Source organism: Homo sapiens, chromosome 12, assembly GCF_000001405.40.
Source record: "Homo sapiens chromosome 12, GRCh38.p14 Primary Assembly".
Classification (NCBI taxonomy): Eukaryota; Metazoa; Chordata; class Mammalia; order Primates; family Hominidae; genus Homo; species Homo sapiens.
The window spans coordinates 125,569,093-125,592,395 of NC_000012.12; the positions used below are offsets into that span (position 1 = coordinate 125,569,093).

At 39.1% G+C, this 23,303-nt stretch overlaps 1 protein-coding gene across 9 annotated transcripts in view; it reads left to right on the forward strand.

Moving 5' to 3' along the window:
- The window catches only part of TMEM132B (transmembrane protein 132B), a 475,992-nt gene that overhangs the window by 382,707 nt on the left and 69,982 nt on the right, over positions 1–23,303 (forward strand). For all 9 annotated transcript variants that reach the window (NM_001366854.1, XM_047428243.1, XM_047428241.1 and 6 more), the window contains one exon: positions 14,759–14,902. In NM_001366854.1, coding sequence (NP_001353783.1) covers positions 14,759–14,902 — 144 coding nt within the window. The remainder of the gene's footprint in view (positions 1–14,758; positions 14,903–23,303) is intronic.

The window sequence follows — 23,303 nt, forward strand, 5'->3', positions numbered from 1 at the left end:
GGCATTGCTCTTTCTGTCTCAGTGTCTATCTGGGCTGCTCTGCTCATGTCCGTTGCCTGCTTGGCTTTTGTGGGCATTTGTGTTATGCCCCAGCTCTACTGGGGGTTCCCAAGCTGGCATTTCCCCCAGTCACTCAGCAGTATCACCATTGCTTCCCCAAAGCATCTTCCTATCCCCAGGAAGCTGGTATGCTGGATATTATCGCCCCACCTTACAGAAAAGATTATTGCTGGCCCAGGGTCACCTAGGAAATTGGTAGCAGCATCCAGGACTTTTGACTCTGAGTTCAGTGCCCGTCACAGTGGCCTCGGATGCCCTCTTAGCACTTAGTTGCAGGTTCCTTGAGGGATGGGCTTAAGATCTGGTGTCCATCCGCAGCTGGTAAGGTGAAACATTTGTGCAGCTGAGGATGTCCTTTTTACCATGGGCTACTTTTATCAGTGTCCCACTTACCTTCCCTATGGGACTTAGGATGCAGGGGACATGGATATTTTTAGAGCTCTTGGTTAAGACTCTTCTGGTGGTAACAGAAACCAACTAGGGCCAATGAAAGCATAAAGGAGAATTAATGTTGAGGACACATCCTGGAATCCAAGGGCAGGGAAGGAGCGGGGCACAAGGAATGAACTGGAACCAGCACGGGAGCTCCTTAGGAAGCTTGACCAACCCCCCCATCTCTCTGCTTGCCACTCTCCTGGCAGAAAATGGCCAACAACTGCTTCTTAGTTTATATTCCTTACTTTCTGGAGAGGCGTCAGAGGCTGGAATCTCTTCATTTTCATTCCAAATTCTTTACAGAAAGGGCTCATTGGTTCAGCATGGTTCATTACTCATATCTGGACCAATCCATGGTGACTTGAAGTGGGAGGCCATTTTGCATAAAGCAGTGACATGGAGCCTTGTCACTATTATGATAGTGTTGGGGGGGAAGGGAAGGAAGTTTTCCAGAAGATGCTCCTTATGTCACTATTGAATGGTTTTACCTGCATTCGGCTACGTTTGAGATCCTACTCCACCCCGGGCAGTATGCGAGCCAATGGGAAAAAAGAAACCTGGTCCTTGTCCCCAAGAAGTTTGCAGTCTAGTGACTTTAATGGGTTGAGTTTCCATTTCTTGTAGAACCTCCATATGTACTGAGAGCTGTAGGGCCTTACGTATTTGTAGTCTGTTGTTTCAGCAGTGGAGGAACTGTTGTTCCTCCTTCCCTGTGAGGTAAACTTGCCTGTAAGGCCTACTGCATGACCATCTTCCCTGTGAGTGACCCTCAATCGTGTCAGTTAAGCAGCACTTACCACCTCACTGCTCTTAGTTACTGGTTAATGAACTTACCTGGGCACTGGATAAAGCTCATCCCCAACAGCCTTTGCTTCTTCCATCTGTTGTCACCACCTGGGAGACACAGGTCGGTCCTTAACAGAGTCACATTTTATTGCTCTGTCTCTGAGTGCTATCCTATTTGAAATAATTTTCTTTGTGTTATTCAGAGACTCAGAAAGAGCTGAATTTTGAAATCACTTTCTGCCTCGTAGATAATAAATGATCCGAGTCTAAAAATAGCCATCAAGTTGGGGGAGCTGGCTGATTTCAGCGTTATATAATACACAACAGTGGGATTGAAAAATCAGTATTTAAATTGGAGCCAACATCCTTGCTTATCTCTGAGTGAAATTTACATCTGCCTTGCGATTTTAAAAATCAGAAGTCAAGGTGTCTGAGGGCCCAATGTGGTCAGAATTAGATTCCTACTCAGAGGCTGACATTTCTGTGCTAGGGATCAAAGAGTGTAGGTGGCCAGGCCTTGGGGTTGTGGGCCAGAACCTCACAGGCTGGAAGAGCAGCTGGAGTGGAACACACTGGAAGTCACACGTGGTTGTGACTTGGGCCTTTGTGGCTACTTAGCTGTTTCTACTAAAAACTAAGTTTTGTATCTATAAAATATATTTTTAAACATTTCAAATTAAAAAATCTGTATAAAGCTATCTTTTAGGCTGAAAGCTTTCTTTTGAGCTGGGAAAAGAAATGCGATTGTTAGGTTTGTTTTCCAAGTGAGGAGCTGAGAGGAGACCCAGCGCAGCAGCCGGGATCGGGGACTCTGGTGTCAAATGTTTTTGCTCCCATCCTGGCTCTGCAGCTTAGCAGCGGAGTGATTCTGGCCAAATCATGGAATCTTTCAGCTTCAGTTCCCTCATTTGTAAAATGAGGATAAAAATAGTAATGCTTCAGTAGGGATGCTTGAGGATTAAATAAGATGTTAATAAGACCAGTTAGTGTTTATCAGGTACTTACAATATACCAGGCACTGTTGTTGGGCACTTTGTTGGTTATCAAATGTTGATACCTATTGTAGTTTATTGTTATAAATATGCATTATTATTAACAAATAATGCATGTAAATAACTTGGCACAGTGCCTGGAACTTATCTAAGTGTTTAAGAAAAATTAGTTGTCACTAATTATGTTTGTTAGGCACTTACCACATCCTGCATCTTTATGCATTTATTTATTGATTCATCTCTGTTGCCTGTTCTCTTGGTTATATCTTTGAGTCTGAACAAATGTGTTTCCCAAATACCTTCACTAAAATCCCCCAAATGTGCATATTCTCTCTTTCAACACAAAGACACATTGTTGTTATTTTAATGAACTGCTTGAGAGTAAGTTACACACATGATGATCCTTTTTCTGTAAATAGGTTTGTGTAAATTTCCTCAAAACTCTTACGTAAGTAGAGTGAAATGTCAGTATCAGGAAATGAATGTCAATGCAAAGTGTTATCTTGTTCCCAGACCATATTCAAATTTTATCTATTATTGCACTAATATCCTTTATAGCAAAAGAAAAATACATTTTTCTGTTTGAGGATTCAATTCAGGATCACACATTGCATTTGTTGTGTCCTTTAATCTGGAACAGTTTCCTAGTCTTTGTCTTTTAGGCTGTGACATATTTGAAATGGACAAAATGTGCCATATTGGGTTTTGTCTGATATTTCCTTATTATTAGATTCAGTTTACATGATTTTTGTCGAAAACAGTCCAGAAGTGATGCTATCTCCTTTTCAGGACATACAATGCATATTTATCCCATTGCTAGTGATGTTGTCTTTGATCACATGGAAAACAGGGTGCTATGGTCTGTGTGTGTCTCCCAAAATCCATGCGTTGGAAACTTAATCCTGAATGCAACAGCACTGGGAGCTGAAGCCTTTTGGGAGGTGTTTATGTCATTAGGGCTCTGCCCTCATGGATGAATTAATGCTGTTATAAAAGGGATTGACCAAGAAGTTCATTCCTTTTTGCCCTCTGCCTTCTGCAATCCTCTCCAGAGGCTACGCCGTTCAAGGCACCATCTTGGAAGCAGAGGGCAGCCCTCACCAGATGCTGATGCCTTGATCTTAGACTTCCCAGCTTCTATCACAGTGAGGAAAAAATTTTGTTCTTTATAAATTACCCAGTCTGTGGCATTCTGTTATAGCAGCACAAAATGGACCAAGACAGGTGGTATATGCTAGGTTTAGACACCATAAAGTTACTGTTTTCCCTTTGAAGTTAATGTTTCTTTCACAGAGATACTTTGGCACTATGAAAATGTCCTGTTTCTTATCATCCTTTCAATCAGTAGTAGAGCCCATTAATGATTCTTGCCTGAAACAATTATAGTAATAAATAGTGATTGCCAGGTGGTGATATTCTAGCTTCATCATTCCTTTTGATATTTATTAGCTGGAATTCTACTCTAAGAATCAATCTTCCTTTCTTCACTGTTTGTTTATGACAATATGGACTCAGAAGCTTATTTTATTCTACAGATTATAATTGACTACTGTGATTATTTACTGTGATGCTAAAATTGTCCCAAACTGGAAGTGGGTGCCCCTTCACTCTGCCTCTTGTGTCCTTTTGACATTTTTTTTGAGCACTTTGTTACTTTCTGCCTCTACAGGATATATCAGGCTCATGTTCTTGTACTTTCTTTGTCTTGGCACTTAAATCAGCCATTTCTCTAAGGAGCTCTGTTTTCTTTTATTGGAGACTGGTTTTTAGAGCTCCATTCTGGGTACTAGGTGTGCTGATTGCTAAAGGGGTGTTATATCTAAGCCCTCTCAGTGAACAGAACTAGGAAAAAACTATATACATGTGTACATATATACACACCTACGTTATACATAGGTAGACACATGTATGTCCCTGCTCCTGTGATTTTGTGATGGTACTTCCCATCCCAGTTCATGATTGCAGAGTTCACTCTAACTCCTTCTCCTTTCCATTTTTAAACTCAATTTTCTAGCAGTGAGAATCCTGGCTCTCATTACCCAACACATATTGTTTGCTCAATCCTAGAATACTAAAGCAGTTTTAGAATTGCTAACCCATACTGCTGTGGAAAACAAACCTAACTAGAATTCAATCTGTGTTTACAGTTATTTTTATCTTTAGCCTGAGAGTACATAGTCAAAATAATGTGCCGAAAGTTACTTGTGACTCCTAAATTTTAATAGCTTAAAGCAACAGAGGTTTATTTGTGCTCACACTGCCTGTCTGACACAGATCAGTTGGAGAATTTTGCTCTGGGTCACTTTGGGAGCCAGGATGATGGAGCAGCCACCATCACCATGGCATAGAAAGGGAGAGTGTGAAGTCTTGTGTTCTTAGAGCTTCTGATTCAAATGAGCACATAATTCCACCTGTGTTTCATTGGCAAATTCAAATGGACAGTAAAATACAATCAAACTGTGTGCTCAAAAAGAGTGCTTGTGAGGAAATTTTATTTATTTAATGCCATCCTTATGAATTCTTTGGAAAAAAAATTTTTTATAGCTAAGAAAATGGAAGTACTCCAACTTCTTTTTAACCAATATAGGGTCCAATTCATCACGTTATCTGTTACATAATATTTTATACTGTGGACCTGTACCAAGTTCATTGGGCCATTTCCTAACTAATGGATATTTAGATAGTTTTTATCTTTTCCTATTAGAAACAATGCTTTGATGAATATCCTTCATGAACTGATGACCTTGTTTGGGCATCTCTCTCAGTAAAGATACCCATAGGTGGAGTTACTGAGCAGTCAGTTTTTTTTTTTTTAAATCAATCAGAGATTCCTTATTTCCTACATTCTTCTCTGTAAAGTGAAAGTAATAATAGAAGCAACCTCATTAATTAATATGAAGCCCTTGTCACAATCCCGAGCACATAGCAGATGCTCTCTTGTATGAGAGCTATTATTATTCTTTTCTCTCAAATGTGGTACCAGATTGTGATGTTCTCTTTTGCCTTTGTATTTTCTGTGGGTAGTTCACCTCGTCCAATGGGGTTTCAGATTCCCAACGTGGAAGGAGTTGCTGCTATCTTTCCTTTGTAAAACAAGGTACTTTAAGGCAATGTGTTCTTCAGTTCTTTCTAGATCTAAGATATCCCTAAGATTCAACTGACTCTACGGATTAGAAGCTAACAGAACTATTGTCACGTAAGGAATCGTGACCATTTGAGAAACAAGAAGAGGAAAGGAGAGACTGTCAATATTTAGGGCTGCTCACTCGCTGATGTAAGAATCCTTCTCATGGACATAGAGTATGAGGCTGTTGCTCACCCTGGTAAAACTTCAGCGGGTCAAAAAGGGTGTTGAAGATGCCCTGTATTATATCTACTTCTTGGAGTTTATATTCTGCCAAATTTTTTCTCATTGGCAAAATTGTTGTCCATCTTTCACAAAACACTGAATCATCACTGACATTGAGGAGTGGTATGAGCCTTTCTACTGATATCTGTACTGATGTTCCCAACACATGAAATGCCAGGACATATGGCATTACCTCACTATTCAGAATAACATGGAATCTTTTGTTTGTTTGTTTTCACTATGCAGTGGCTTTCAGTTGATCCACAAGGGTTGGCAACCATCAACACTAATTCTAGAATATTTCCATCACTCCTCCAATGAAATCCCAAACCTATTAGCTGTCATATATATATATATATATATATATATTCAGGAGTAGAATTGCTAGGTCATATGGTAATTCTCTGTTTAACCTTTTGAGGAAGCACCAAACTTTTCCACAGCAGTCACACAATTTTACACCCCACAGACAATGTATGAGAGTTCCAATTTCCACACATTCTTGCCAGTCAACACTTGTTATTTTATGTCTTTTTATTTAAAGTTGTCCTAGTCAGTGTGAAGTGGTATCTCTTTTTGGTTTACATTTCCTTAATGAAGTTGAGCATCTTTTCATGTGTTTATTGGCCACTTGTATTAATATATCTTCTTTTGGAAAATGTCTATTCAAATCCTATCCCCTCATTTTTAATTTGGGTATTTGTCTATTTTGTGTGGTATAATACTTCTGCATATATTCCAAACATTAGACCCTTATCAAATATATTATTTGCAAATATTTTCTCCCATTTGTGGATTGTCCTTTTACTTTCTTGGTGGTATCCCTTGAAGCACAAATGTTTTTAATTTCTATAAAGTACAATTTATCTATTTTTCTTTGTTGGTTGTGCTTTAGGTGTCATATCTAAGCAATATTTGCTGAGTCTGAAGTCATGAAGATTTATACCTAAGTTTTCTTTAAAGAGTTTAATGGTTTGAGTGCTTAAATTTATGTCTTTGATATATTTTGAATTAAATTTTGAATGTGGTGTGAGGTATGGACCCAACTTTGTTCTTTTTTATGTGGATATCCGGTTATCCCAGCATCATTTGTTGAAAAAACTATTCTTTCACCATTGAATTATCTTGAAATCCTTGTTGAAAATCAATCTGCTGAAAATGAGAGAATTTATTTCTGGAAAGTCAATTCTAATCAGGAAGTGTGAGCCTTCCAACTGTTATTTATCCAGATTGCTATGGCTATTCTGCCTCTTTCATCTCCATATGAATTTTAACACTAGCTTGTGTACTTCTGGAAAAAAGGCAGCTGGAATTTTGATAGCAATTACATTGAATCTATATATTTATTTGGGGAGTGTTGACATCTTAACAATATTAAGTTTTCCAATCTATGAACGTAGGATACATTTTATTTATTTATTTAGGTATTTTTAAAATTTTTTCAACAATACTTTGTGAGACATTTAAGTTTAACCAACTACTTTCATTAAACTTATTTCCAAGTAATGTATTAATTTCGATGCTGTTATAAAGATAATTAGTTTCTTAATTTCATTTATGTATTGTTCATTACAGATAAAATTGAGTTTTAGATTTTCATCTTGTATCCTGAAATTTGCTGAACTCCTTTATTAGCTTTAATGGTTTGCTTGTGGATTTCTGGAATTTTCTAGGTATGGGATCATGTCATCTGCAAATAGGTATAGTTTTACTTCTTCATTTCCAGTTTGGATTCATTTCAATTAATCCCCCCCACCCCGCCCCAATTACCTTGGCTAGAACCTCCAGTACAACACTGGATAGAAGTGGTGAGAGTCATCTTTGTCTCGTTCCTGATCTTAAGAAAGCTTACAGTCTTTTACCACTGTGATATTAGCTGTATGTTCTCCATAGATGGCCTTTATTATGTTGAGGAAGTTCCCATCAATTCCTAATTTATTGAGTAGTTTTATCATTAAAAGGTGTTGGATTTTGTCAAATGCTTTTTTTCACATGTCTTGAGATGATCCAGACATACATTTTGGTCCTTTGTTCTATAATTAAGGTATATTACATTGATTAATTTTCATATGTTGAACCAATCCTGCATCCCTGGGATAATTCCCACTTGTTATGGTGTTTAGTCCTTTAAAAAAATGTTGCTTGCATTTGTTTGCTAGTATTTTGCGTGTGTGTGTGGCAGGGGGGTGGGGTTGGCATCTATAATCATTAGGGATATTGGCCTGTAGTTTTCTTTTCCTGTGATGCCTTTCTTTTTTTTTTTTTAAATTAGGGTAATACTGGCCTCATAGAATTAGCTGGGAACTGTTTCATCTTCTAATTTTGTGAAGAATTTCTAAAAATTAATATTACTCTTTCTTCAATCTTTTGTTAGACTTTATTAATGAAGCCATCTGGTCCTGAGCTTTTCTTTGTGGAAAGTTTATTTTTAAATTATTAGTTCAATCTCTTTATCAGTTATAGATATTGAAATTCCAATTTCCTCTTGAGCCAGTTTTGGTAGTTTTTGTCTTTTTATGAATTTGCTCTTTTCATCTAGGTCATCTAGTTTTTGGCATATGCTCTAGTATTCCTCTATAATTTTTTTTCCTGTAAGACTGAGCCCCTTTTTAATTCCTTATTTTAGAAATCTGAATCTCCTCTGCACTGCTCCACTCATCAGTCTGGCTAAAGTTTTGTCAGCTTTAAAATTTTTCCAAGTAACTTACTTTTGGTTTCATTGCATTGGTTTTCTGTATTATATGTCATTTATTATTTTGTATTAATGTATAAATATTATGAAATATAATATCTAATAATATTCAACATAACATTATTTAATAGTAAATACCAATATTTAATATAAATAATGTGATATAATATTTATATTATTATTAAACTATACTTAACATTTTTTCTACTCTATTATTATTGTCTTCCTTGCTCTTGTTCTAGGTTTAGTTTGCTCTTTTTTCTCTAGTTCTCTAAGGTAGAAGGCTAGGTTATTAATTTGAGATATTTAAATTTTCCCATATAGGCATTTACTGCTATACATTTCCCTCTAGATACTACTTTTAATACATCTCATAAGTTTTGGCATGTTGTGTTTTCATTTTTACTCATCTCATAGTATTTTCTGATTTCTCTTGTGATTTATTTTTTGAAACATTGGTTGTTTAAAAGAGGATTGTTTAATTTCCGAATGTTTACAGATATTCTTAATTTCCACCCTATCCTTTTCTAATTTCATTCTATTGATATCAGGTAATTTACTTTGTACAATTTCAGTCCTTTCAAATTTGTTGAGACTTGTTTAATGGCCTGACCTGTGGTATGTCCTAGAGAATGCTCCATGTAAATGCAGTAACAATGTGTATTCTGCTGTTGCTGGCTACTGTGTTCTATAGATGTCTGTTATGTCTTGTTTCTTTATAGTATTGTTAAAGTCTTCCTTTTCCTTGTTGATCTTATGACTAGTTGTTCTGTTAATTACTGAAAGTGGAACATTGAAGTCTCCAACTCTTATTGTTGGATTTTTTATTTCTTCCTTCAACTGTGTCAGTTTTGACCTCATGTATTTTGGGGATTTGTTGTTAGGTGCATCTGTTTTATAATTGTTATATTTTCTTGTTGATTGACTCATTTTATACAACATTCATCTTTGTGTCTGTTTTTGTCATACAAATTGCATCTTTCTGCAAGATGTGTGTCCATGAACAAACATCTATAATTATTCCTTTATGCAGTTCTCCTTTAAATAAGATAGAAGAAATGTAATGTCCCAAACAAAAATATGTTTGTACTGTCTTTTGTATTTATCAATGTAGTTACATTTACTGGTGCTCTCTATACCTTCATGTGTAATTAAGTTACTGTCTAGTGTCCCTTCATTTGAGCCTAGAGGTCTTCTTTTGGTATTTCTTGGAAGATGAGTCTGTTAGTGAAGAACTCTCTCACTTTCTGTTTTTCTTGGTTTGTGACAATTTCTTCATTTTATTTTGAAAGACAGGTTTTCTGGATATAAAATTCTTGGTTGACAGTCTTTTTTCTTCCACCACATTGAATGTGTCATCCTTCTACCTTTTTGCCTCCAGTTTCTGATAATACAACAGGTCTTAGTCTTATTGAAGATTGCTTGTATATAATGAGGTATTTTTGTCTTGCTGTTTTCAATATTATATGGTATTTTGGTATTTGACAGTTTGATTATGATGTATCTAGGTGCGGATCTCTCTGAGTTTATTCTATTTTGAGTTCGCTGAACTCTTGGACGTGCAGATTAATGTTTTTAATAAAATCTGGGACACCTTTGCCATTAATTACTCAAATATTGTTTCTTCCTTTTTCTCTGCCTCCTTTTCTTCTGGGACTGCAATTGTGCTTATGCTGGTATGCTTGATGGCATCACAGAAATCTCTGATGCTGTATTTATACTATTTTTGTTCATTCTATTTTCTTTATACTCCTCTCATTTTAATTTTAATTAGCCTATCTTTATATTCACTGATTCTTTTTTTCTGTCTGCTCAAATCTGCTGTTGAGCCCCATGAGTGAATTTTCCATTTCGGCTATTGCACTTTTCAACTTTAGAATTTCTAATTGATTATTTAAGAAAATAATTTATATCTATTGATATTCTCTCTTTGGTGAGACAGCTTTCTCATACTTGCTTTTTTTTTTTTCTTTGAGATAGAGTCTCGCTCTGTGGCCCAGGCTGGAGTGCAATAGCATGATCTCGGCTCACTGCAATCTCTGCCTCCTGGGTTCAAGCAATTCTCCTGCCTTAGCCTCCGAAGTAGCTGGGATTACAGGTGTGGTGGCACCACACCTGGCTAATTTTTTATATTTTTAGTAAAGGTGGGGTTACACCATGTTGGCCAGGCTGGTCTCAAACTCCTGACCTCATGATCTACCTGTGTCAGCCTCCAAAAGTGCTGGGATTACAGGTGTGAGCCACTGCACCTGGCCTTTCATACTTTCTTTTAGTACTTTAGATGTGATTTTATTTCTTTGAATATATTCAAAACATTTAATTAAAAATAATTGTCATCTTTGTGTAGTAGGTCCAATACCTTAGCTTTCTCAGGGAAAATTTGCTTGATTGCTTTTTGTCCTGTGTATGGACCATATTTTCTTGCTTTTTTGCATGTCTCATAAGTTTTTTTTCAAAGCTGGACATTTAAAATAATATAATGTGGCAACTCTTGGAATCAGATTCTCCTTCCCTCCCCAAGTTTGTTTTTGTTGTTTGTTGTAGTAGCTGTTGATTGCTTAGTGACTTTTATAAACTAATTCTGTAAAGTCTATAAAGTCTCTGCTTGGTTAGCTTGGTGGTCAGCCAATGATTAGGCAGAGTTTTCTTTAAATACCTGACACCTGCCTTAGCTTTCACTTCCTTCTTCCACAGAGCCTCAAAATCAACCAGAGGTGAAAGCTTAGGTCTATTCTCTGATCTTTCCTGTGTATGAGCACAGCTCTAGGCATGCACACAGCCCTAAGTATGATTATGATCTTATAGATTCCCAGGAATATGTCATAGCCTTTCAAAGACCCTATGGACATCTCATTCTTCATCTTTTCCTTTGAAGCTTTTTGATTAAACTGTTATCCACTGCTTCAGGCAGCTAAAAGTCAAACAGTTGCCTGGCAAGTATCTCTAGGGAAAGAGCTTTCCATACTGGGTGAACTGAGAGTGAAGCCAAATACCGACAACCTTGCAAGTGGGTTTTTTCAGGGAACCATTAGACAAGTCGATAAATGACTATTATTTGGGAATGAGGTTTTGAAAGATCTCCAGCCCTGACCTGACCCCTCCAGTGGCTTCTAGACTGCTGGTTTTTACTGTCAATGTAGGCTGTTATTTTTTAAAGATACTACAGCACTAGAAAGTGTGAGATTTAAGCAGGTCAGGTTAAAATGGCACAAAGTTCTGTTTTTACCAATAATTAGCCATTTTTTCTTGAATAAATGATCTCCTGGTTGCCTATAAACCTTTGGTTTATTTCCAGAGTTAAAAAAGTTGATCTTGACAGGAGAAGGGAATTTTCTGATGTTTTGACTGCCATTTTCACTGACATCACCCTAACGTGCAACATTAATGGAAGCACATAGTCATAAAGGACTATAAATATGCTTCAAGGCATGAAACCTAGAACTCACACAAATAAGAGCAGAATAAAATACTTTGTTTTTTGATAGGTTAGGAATTTTTAGCATCTCTGGGATCAGGGGACGATTTCAATGTAATATTTACCATGCTAAATTGCTTTCTCATTGTGCTAGGTAAGTAGGAATTGCCTTTGGGATTTTTGAGAGACTGTTGATGGAAACAGGATAAAAAAGGTATGAAAATCTCAGCTACCCATGAAAAAGCTGAAGGAGGAAACATGGTTGCAAAGTTATGTGTAATAGAATCATAAGTTTGCATCAGTTATGATTTATTATAAAAATTAAAGTCACCTTTCTTGAAACTCAGTTTGGGAAATATATTGTAATGTCTTCTTTGAAGGCTGTGAGCTTCTACAAGGTGGAGATTGATGTTTAACCTTTTCTCTTTCCCTAGTGTCTAGCCTGTTACTTGTCCTCATGTGTTAAGAATTTTAGTTGCAACTGACAACCCAACTCAAACTAACTTTAGTAAAACAGTTAATTTTGTATACCTACATTTCCAAAGATAACAGACTTCAGGTATAGTTGGATTCAGGAACCTGGAAATCTTTCCCAGGAATATTTCTAGCTCCTACTCTTGTCTGATTTTCTTTGTTTGGGCTTCACTTGAATCTGTCTTTGTGGGCCAAGGGCTGGAATACCTGGATTGACTGTATTTTGGTCATGTGCTTTTCTGCGAAGTCTGACTGGGTGTTCTGGGATCAGCGCCACCCAGTCCACATTCACTGATGGCAGGAATCGGGTGATACAGAGAGAAAAAAAATGAAACATTGTCACTAAAGAGGAAGGAAGAGGGATGCTCATTAGACAAAATCAATGCCTGCCCACCACACACAAAAAATACCTGTACTGATTTTTTTTTTTTTCAGCTGCATGATTGAGTTGAACTTAGCAGTTTGTTCTGGGACTATGATACAATCTCTGTTCCTTGTATTCATGAGATTACTCCCACTTCCATATCATTACCCCACCTAGGTGAGTTCTCATCTCAACTTCCACAGTGCTTCCAGTCCTATGTGCTTTAATATAAATATATGTAAGTGTGCACAGAATTAAGCTCCCCGGGCAGAGGGGAGTGCTCAGGAACATGGAGTACAGTTCTGTTCTTTTGGATTTATCTCTTTAAAATTTCATCCAGAATAGGGGACACATGTAAAAAACAAACTTAATTTTTCACATTTCTTAGATTGGGTTGTTATTGTTTTTAGGTATTCATTACAAAGTTGATGTTTTCTGTTAACAAGTAGCTATTATTTGCAGGTTTAATATCAACAAAAAATAAATCATCTATAAAATGGGAATAATATCCGTAACTACCTTGGGAGAGCTGAGAAAACTGAATGAGGATGTAATGACATATAAAACACATAGAACATTTCCTGTTCCATACATAATAGCTAAGTTTTAGCAATTATTATTATTATTATTATTATTATTATTATTATTATTAAAGGTTGACTCCATCTCTTACTCTATTAAGCCTTCACAATCAAGTTTGGAATAGAGAGTGCGGGGCCGACTATAGAATCCACATAGTGCCTGAGCTAAGGTTAGGGACTCCAAATGTGAAAGCAATACTCAAGTAATGATCTCACTGATACAGTCTGGGAGACACTGAAATAATTATCTAGTTGGATCATTCTAGTGAGGCCAATTATGGAATGTTTGGTGAACTCTCATTGCTGGGCTGTGTTGCCCAGGTGTCTACCATCTTCTCTGGTTGACTCTCTTTCTCTTCAGGCAAGTGCGAAGTGGCATCTCTGCCACAGTCCCCTTGTGAATCTACTCAGTGGTTCTTTAATTCACTCATGGAGCAAATACTGTAGAGAACTTACTGTAACAGCTGGATTTATTGCATGCTTGTTGCCCATTATGTACCAGTTCTGTTCTAAGCTTTGTACATTGATTGATTTATTAAATTTTCATAAGGTCCCCATACAGGAGCTGTTTTTATTATCCCCGTTTTCCAGATCAGAGAACCCAGGTACAGGGGAAGTACCCTGTGGTAGATGCTGTTGATGGGATGTAAATGGGCTCAACTGTGGTGAGGGACAGAAAGACAGGAGCAGGAGAGAGAGTAAAAGGTGAGAAGGTCAGATCATTCCATGTCCATGAGTTTGGATTTTATCTTAAGAATAGCAGGACACTTTCAAAGAGTTATAATCTAGGAAAGAAATAATCTGCATTATATTGAAACAAAAAGATAATTTTGTTGTAAAGAGAATGAACACAGGGAAACCAGTTGGGGAGGGCATTGTGGTTGTCCAGCTGAGAGAAGATGGCTTGAGTAGGGAAGTTGGCAGTGGGGATGGCAAATATTTGACAGACTGAGATAAACTATGAACATATATTAGAACCTACAGAACTCTGAGGGGATCAATCAACAGAAGAAGTGAGAAACGCACATGTCAGCATTTAAAAATACCTGGGTTTGGAGGGAGATCTCTGGAGATTCTGGAGGTGTCGGGGAGGTGGGGTGTGGCAGTCAGCTTGGGTGTGTAGAGGTTCGTAATGTTCAACTTGTGCTCTTCTGTTGTTTCTGCTGTTGTCTTTCCTAGTTTAAAATCACAATGAAGTCTATGTTCACTATGTTAATAAGCCCAGAATATAGGCATTCACTTCCCAAATGATCCTTGAGCCGAGATTTGAAAAATACTGAAAGGAACTCGTGTGCTATGTGTGAGTCTGTGGGACTGAGGGCGGCGGGGATGGAGTAAGGGAGAGGAGGTCAGGGAGAGGGAGAATGACCCTGCACCTGGGGACTGGGAAGACATTCCAACCAACCATCAGGTTTGATTATCTCAGTCTGGGATGAAACACCGATTGGAAACTTCCATTTTGTGTGAGCTTTGTGGCTTTGTCCCTTCAGACAACTGTCTAAATCGCAGAACGAGAATGAAGGCAGTAGGGAGCTTGGTGGACACCCCTCTCCTGCTCGCCCCTGTGGTATGCACGTTTGCTGATCTGAGCCCTCTCCTCTCCTGTTTAGGACACCGAGGTTTTGAACACTGCCATTCTCACTGGAAAGCCTGTTTCAGTTCCTGTCAAAGTCGTGGGGGTCCAGGAGGATGGTTCTGTGGTCGATGTGTCTGAGTCTGTGGAATGCAAGTCTGCCGATGAAGATGTCATTAAGGTAAGGGGGGATTTATCTACAGCTGTCCTAAGTGCTCAGAGCTTTTTGTCGTTCCTTCTTTTGTCTCCAAGGTCTTGTTCTCACTGAGCATCCCATGCTCTAAAGGGCTGGAGGCCAGAATGACCTCACGAAGGAGGAAACAGCTGACCGCAGAGACTCCCTGGAATCAGCAGGCGGCTGCAGCAGGTGATGCTGCTTCCCTCTCCCTGGAAAGGGGAATCCCTGACCCTTAATCTCCAGCAGAAAGAATTTATTCTCCTCCCCTTCTTGTCTCCCCTATTCTTCTCTCTATCTTTCCTCGTAAGACAATATTTTCCTAACTTTAGCAATCCAAATAAGACCTTCTCATTTTTTGCAAACTCACTGTGCCTAATAATATTATTTACTCAATATATTTTCTTTAAATGCCTTGCTTCTTTCGGGTAGCCAGTTAGCTCAGTGGGTTAGAGTGTGGTGCTAATAAATGCATTACTTTTTCAAACTTAAAAACTAATTTAGCTTCATTATAAGACAATAAAGTCCGTGAGCTTGGTGTATTACATTTTTTGTTAATATGCATTAAAATAAATAACTATTCAAATAAAATTAAGTTCACCCATGTGCCACCTAACTGAACTTGAATATAACCAGTGGGATACAGTTTAGGAAATGGGACATTTCTGCTAGATTCTTCACTCAAATTAGCTATGTTTCTGACTCCAAATTCTGCTAGGAACCAGAAAATATTTTTTTCATGCTCTCTGAAGGGGTCTTTTTGAACCACCAAATTTAATATTTCTGCCTATTTTTTCTTAGCACATTGGTTGCTATTGCTTTTGCAGCAGAGACCTCAGGGAGAAAGGATTTGAATTTTTAGAATGACTGATCCTTCCTCCTTTAAATTATTAAGAGAGCCCCAAAGTCCAATCTATTCAGCTATTTTAGAAAAATACAATAACTCAGAGTTCTGCCCTTCCTCACATTCTACAAGCTCTTGTTTAGAGGTTACATGAAACTTGGTCTCAGTATTGAAAACTTCGTGGTAGACAGGAAAACCTTTAGGGGTTTCCCTATAGTAGAAAAGGTCTGGGAGGGGTTGATTTCTTCTTGTTGTGACCTACAGGATGCTGTGTCTTAAGCAAGAGACAGTTTCGGAAAAAAAGACTGATGTATTCGTGAGGTCTAATTAACAAAGAAATTAATTCCTAGGAAACTCAAGTTTGGCATAGACTCTTTCCTGGACATGGAATGCTCATCGTCCTTAGATATGGAAGGTGGACTGGCTTAAAACCTGCACACATAGCCCTGCCTGGGGTTCCTGGTGGTCCTTGTATTCTGTAGGCAGGTTTGATTAAATATATGGCCTTAAATATTCAGAGTTTAGAAAGAGCTGAGCCAAGTCACAGGAGATTATATGCACCAATGACAAATATGGATGATGAACTGCTGTTGGTTGCTATTGACAATGCGCAAGTTTTACACTATTTTTACTATTCCCATGTCATTCTAGAAAGGAGACACTGATAAGAGATGGTATCTGTATGCTTACGTCATAATGGGCTCAAACAAATGATTCAGTCTGTAGTTTCCTAAGCCTTTTGTTCTGACCTAAGAGCCTGCTATGAAGCCCCATGGGGTGGAATCCTCCTTCTCTTGCCCTGAAGAGCTCTACTCTAGAGGGGCAGGTCCAAGTTCACAGATCCCGTTATTGCCATATACCTGGTTTTCTCCACTCCACACAAATGTACTAAAAGTATCCTCTGCTCATCCTCATAGACGTTGTTTTGGAAGATGATACCTTTTTGCTCAGCTGTCACCTATATAGCCTCAGGAGGATGGGGATTCGTCTAACAAATTATTGCCCAGTCTTCAGAGGAACAAAGTGAAACCTGCAGATCGCAAGCTCAGAGCTGTATTCACACTTTTTAAGGGGATTCCAGGACTGTTGCAAGTTTGGGGGCTTGTGTCAATTGAGGCGATTTAATTAAATGGCTGTGATGCATTTACTATGGCTTCAGTGTCAATGTTTGTAGTAAATTTTACTATAACTCCAAGTTGAATGGAGTTGTCCACAGAGCTATGACCTTGGCATCATCCCAGGGACATCCTCAAATACATGGCACATTCATTAGCACCCTTTGGAGAGATCCTCTGAGTCTGTGGAGTTGTCACACAGTCATACTTCAGAGTACAGAAAACACTGAATGATTTTTAGGGAGAGTCTTGCAGGGCTCACCAAAGATCTTTGTGCCTTGGAACCATGAGTTAGATAAGGGAAAAATGTGAATTTAGAAAGATGTAAGTTATGGTAATATCCAAACAAATGAACTTGTTTGGCCTGTGATTGTATGACTTTTGCGGGACAGAATCAGAGGACATACATGATTTTGAAAAGCTGGAACCTTGGCCTAATCTGGCAAGATTAAAAGAGATAAATGTAAAATTTCAAGTTGACAACTATAGTAGTCCTTCCTTATCTGTGGTTTCACTTTCCGTGGTTTCATTTCACTGTGGTCAATCACAGTCCAAAAACGTTAAATGAAAATTTTCAGAAAGAAGCAATTCATGTTTTAAATTGTGTACTGTTCTGAGTATCGTGAAGAAATCTTGAGTCTTCCTGCTCCATCCCACCTGGGTTGTAACTCATGACTTTGTCTGGCATATCCATGCTGTAGATACCACCCACCTCTGAGTCATTTAGTAGCTGCCTGGGTGATCAAATAGACTGTCGCGGTATCACAGTGCTTGTGTTCAAGTCACCCTTATGTTATTTACAAATGACCCCAAAGTATAAGAGTAGTGATGCTGGCAATTCGGCTAGACCAACAAGAAGTCATAAAGTGCTTCTTTTAAGTGAAAAGGTGAGAGTTCTTGACTTAATAAGGAAGGAAAAAGATCATATGCTGGAGTTACTAAGATCTACAGTCAGAGCGAATCGTCTATCCATGAAATCGTGATGAAGGAAAAAACATTCATCGTAGTTTTGCTGTCACATCTCAAATACAAAAGTTAAGGCCACAGTGTGTGATAAATTCTTCATTAAGATGTGAAAAGACATTAAATTTAGGTGAAAGACATGAACAGAAACTTGTTCTGCTGGATGACAGTCTGATTCAGTTCTATCTGTGGTTTCAGGCATCCACTGGGGGTCTTAGACTATATTACCCATGGATGGGAGGAGACTGGGAGACTGCTGTACTTTTAGGTTAAAAAAAAAAAAAACAAGTAGAGGATTGTGTGTGTGTGTGTGTGTGTGTGTGCGCACACACACAAGAAGCCTTAGCGTTTTTATCAGTATTGGGATCCAGTGAGTCAACTGTTTGATAAGGCTGCTACAGGTTGATTTTTATTAGCATGAATGGGTGTGTGCCTCAGAGCAGAGGTCACAGGCAGGCAGTCTGCAGACCAGATCTGACCCAGAAGTGTGTGGGGGGTGCGGGGAGGGTCTGCATAGTTTAAAAATTGTTACTTAATTTGTTGCCCCCATGTAAAAATTGGCAAGTTCGCACAGAAATCTGGATTTACAGTTTCTTATGAAAAATCACAGGACCAGGTGGTCCTGGGTCTCCATGATTTCCTGTGAACCTCGTCTGGAGTTGAAGAGAGGATGCTCCTCTGCATAAAACCTGTGCCCTCCAGCTCACTGTAGTCTCCACCACTCCCTTTTGTCTTTCACATGGAGGTTGAAGGATATTTGTCATTTCTGGTCACACTTGTGCTCCTAGTTTTTGATAGTGGATTTCAGAGGAAGGTGAGATATTTTTTGTACTCCAGTCTCTAAAAATAAATAAGCAACAAATGATAGACTTCACTCTCTCACTCTGATGGAGAATTCTGTATCTTTCTAGGCCGTAAGAAGAACAATAAAAAATTGGGTTGTGCTCTGCCAAAAAGTGTCTGAGAGGCTGAGGACTCTTGAAATCAAATCACAGGAGAAATGATTGAAGGAAGTGTGAGTGTTAAGCCTATTGATGAGAAGAAAAGGCTCAGGGGTGAGGTGGAGAGGGAGACATGACAGCTTTTTGTAAGTCTTTCAAGGGCCATCATGTAGAAGATGGAGTAGCTTTGTGCTTTTTAGATTCCAAGAATGGAAGTTGAAAGGTACCAGTTTTAGCTCAATATAAAGAAAAAGACTGCAGAGGTAGTGAGTTCTTTGGTTGAGCTTCCAGACATGTGATGTTGCTAAAGATCCTGACTCCACCTTCCTCACCGTTTGACCTTGGGCAAATTACTTACCATCTCTGAGCCTAGTTTCCTTATCTATAAAATGGGGATGGTAATGATACAGTGGAAACGTACTTTTCTAGAGATTTGTTCTAAAGTCACAGCAAACGGCAGAACTAACAATAACCAAACTACTCCCTAATCCTTGAAAATCCCCAGTCTCACTGGGTCATCCAGGCTGGAGTGCAGTGGCGTGATCTCGGCTTACTGCAGCCTTGACCTCCCAGGCTCAAGTGATCCTCCCACCTCAGCCTCCCAAGCAGCTGGGACTACAGGCTCCCACCACTGCGCCAGGCTAATTTTCGTATTTTTTATAGAGACAGTTTTTCCGTGTTGCCTAGGCTGGTCTCCAACTACTAGACTCAAGTGATCTGCCTGCCTCAGCCTCCCAAAGTGCTGAGATTACAGGCATGAGCCACCACGCCCCTCTACACCTGGGTTTTTAGAAATACAAAAGACAGTAGATTTTTTTAAAAAAATGTTTTCCTGGCATTTGAGCTAAGGGCACATTTTCGGGAGCAGTCCAGGGCAAGGTTTTAAAGGGAGTTTTGGGGGAAGTCTAGATGAGTAACCTTTGGGCGCATTTGAAGATAAATTTCCCGCTCATTCTCTGCTATTCTTTTATGTCTTCTGGTGGAAATCTTGTCAGATGGTAACCTTAAGTTATTCTATGTACTTGTAATTGAATTGTTAAATCTATGTGTGATAAAAAGCCCAATGTGGAGTTTAGAGGATGATTAAATAAGAATGTATATCTAGAAAAATTCACATAGTGCTTGACCTGTAATATATTAATACATATTACATCCATACCTATTCACCTGCATATTTATATACATATGCACATGTGGATATAAATATGCAGGTGAATGGGTATAGATATAATATTTATTGACATATTGAAATATCCAAAATATTGTTTGGATATTTGTCTCCAAGCTATATTTAGATATTTGGGCCTCTGTATTATTTTGTTCTCACATTGCTATAAAGAAATACCTGAGGCCGGGCACGGTGGCTCACGCCTGTAATCCCAGCACTTTGGGAGGCCAAGGCGGGCAGATCACGAGGTCAGGAGATCGAGACCATCCTGGCTAACACGGTGAAACCCTGTCTCTACTAAAAATACAAAAAATTAGCCGGGCGTAGTGGCGGGGGCCTGTAGTCCCAGCTACTCGGGAGGCTGAGGCAGGAGAATGGCGTGAACCCGGGACGCGGAGCTTGCAGTGAGCCAAGATTGCGCCACTGCACCCCAGCCCGGGTGACAGAGCGAGACTCCGTCTCAAAAAAAAAAAAAAAAAAAAAAAAAGAAATACCTGAGACCGGGTAACTTATAAAGAAAAGAGGTTTAATTGGCTCATGGTTTCACAAGCTATACAGGAAGCATGGTTCTGATCTGCTCAGCTTCTTGGGAGGCCTTAGGAAACTTACAGCCATATCAGAAGATGAAGGAGGAGCAGACACATCTTACATGGCAGGAGCAGGAGCAAGCAGGGCAGAGGAAGGTGCCACACACTTTTAAATGACCAGATCTCATTAGAAGTCACTCACCATCTATCGTGAGGACAGTACTAAGTGGGATGGTGCTGAATCATTCATGAGAAATCTGCCCCCATGATCCAATCACCTTCCACCAGGCCCCACCTCCAACATTAGGGATTACAATTCAACATGAGATTTGGTGGGGACACAGATCCAAACCATATCAGCCTCCAAATCTCATGTTGAGATGTAATCCCCAGTGGTGGAGGTGGGGCCTGGTGGGAGGTGTTTGGGTCATAGGTGCGGATCCCTCATGAATGGCTTAGTGCTGTCCCCTTGGTGATGAGTGAGTTCACATGAGACCTGGTTGTTTAAAAGTGTGTGGCACCTCCTCACTCCCTCTCTGACCATGTGGGCCATCTGCTCTCCCTTTGCCTTCTGCCATGATTGTAAGCTTCCTGAGGTCCTTGCCAGAAGCAGATGAGGGTACTGTGAGCTAGTTAAATCACTTTTCTATCTAAATTATCCAGCCTCAGGGATTTCCTTATTGCAATGCAAGAATGGCCTAACACAACGTCCACATTCATATCCATGAATGTTAACTGCTACTTGATTGTAAGGTCCACAATATCTATGATTATGTCTATTTTACTAACTATTCTTTTCCCAGTCCTAAGCACTGTATCTGGAACACAGTAAATATTTGTTGAATATTGAATGAATGAATGCTAGAGCTTCCCAGAGATGGAACAAGATACTATGCACAAATGGCTGTTACACCTTTATCAGAACATTGTCAGTGAATTTTCTGTTACTGAAAATCTTCAAAAAGGTAGAAGGTTCCCTGTAGTCAAAGGGATTTGGCATCGGGTAAAGACTTGGACCTGATCCTATCCAAATCGTCTTTTGTTCTCATGGGACTTCACAAATACTTCCTAATCATCCACTTGTGGAGGGCAATATATAAACAGCTTTGGGAGATATAAAGGTGTAATGCATATGACTTCTATCCGTAGGAGCTTACTACAGCTAATGAGTATTAATAGGTAACATTTATTGAGCATTTATTAAGTACCAGGTACCATTATAATAAGAGCATTAGAAGTGTTGACCCATTGCATCTTCACAACAAGCTTTTAAGACAGGTAATACTACTATTCGAAGTTTATACATGAGGAAGTGGCATCTAGAAGGTGCTGTAGCTCAAGTTCTAGTGGATACAGGGGTGAGAGTTCCCACCTAGGAGGTCAGCCCCAGATCCTATGACCTCAACCTCTGTACATCTAAAATTGTCACTCTTGAAGGTTATGTAGGGCATTGTGTGTACGCATGCACGCCCGCGTGTGTGTGTGTGTGTTTGTGTGTGTGTGTGTTGCGGTGGGGAGTGGCACGCTGGTGTTTCTATGAGCTAGTAGCCAAATATTGTTCCTATGATTTTCCCATCAGGGAATGAATTGATAGTGGACTTTTTTTGAATTTGCAAAAGATGTATTTTCATTTTTTAATCCGTATCACCTGGAACAACATGTATCTTACAGTTCTGGAGGTCAGAAGTCTAAAATAGGTCAGTACGGCTGCATTCCTTCTGGAAGCTCTAGGGGAGAATCTGTTTCTTTGCCTTTTCCAACTTCTAGAGGCCATGTGTGTTTCTTGGCTGTGAAGCTGTGAACCCTTCCTCAATTTTCAAAGCCAGCAGCGTAGCATCTCCAACTCTCTCTCTCTTCCCCACATGGCTAATTCCATCATCACATCGCCTTCTCTGACTCTGACCCTGCTGCCTCCCTCTTACAAGGACCCTTGTGATTACTTTGGGGGCCACAAGATAATCCATATCAAGATCCTTAACTTAATGACATCTGTGATGTCCTTTTGACAAAGGTATTAGTTTCCTAGAACTGTTACCACAAACTTGATGGCTTAAACCAATAGAAATTTGTCCTTTCGCAGTTCTGGAGGCCAGAAATCTGAAATCAAGGTGTCAGCAGGACTCCAGTCCCTCTAAAGGCTCTAGAGGAGAATCGTTCCTTGCCTCTTCCAGCTTCTGGTGGCCCTGGGTGTTCCTTGGCTTGTGGCAGCATCACTGTAATCTCTGCCTCTGTGGTTGCATGGTCTCACCCCTGTGTCTCTGTATGACCCTCTTTTCTTATAAGGGTACCTGTCATTGGATTTAGGGGCCGTCCTAATTCAGGATGGTCTCTTCTTGAGATCATTGAAATTGCATCTGCAAATACCCTTTTTCTAAATAAGATCACATTCACAGGTGCTGGGGGTTTCGACTTGGCCATATCTTTTTTTGGGGCCACAATTCAACCCACCCTACTGTGTAAGGTAGATATTTTCAAGTTCTGGGGTTTAGGGCAGAGATATCTTCTGGGAGGAGGTGACTTTATGCTGCCTGCCACAGTGTGTATTCTTTTCTTTGCTGAGTCTTTTTTAAGATCTTTGGAAAAAGAAAGAAAAGGCAATGTTCATACTGTAATTATGATTTAATCTTTATGTGTCTATCTTTTTTACTTCAGGATGGCTTCATGTTTTCATGCATTTGCAGTTGTATTGTTTGTAAATGAATTGTGGTTTTCAGAACCACAGAAGCCAGTCATGCCTCTTCAGTGGGGGATGAACTCTTTCACACTTGCAGATAAATAAGTATAAGCTCACATGGATCTTGAAGATGGTGCTTTCCAACTTATGGCTGCAATAATTAAGTTTCTGGCCT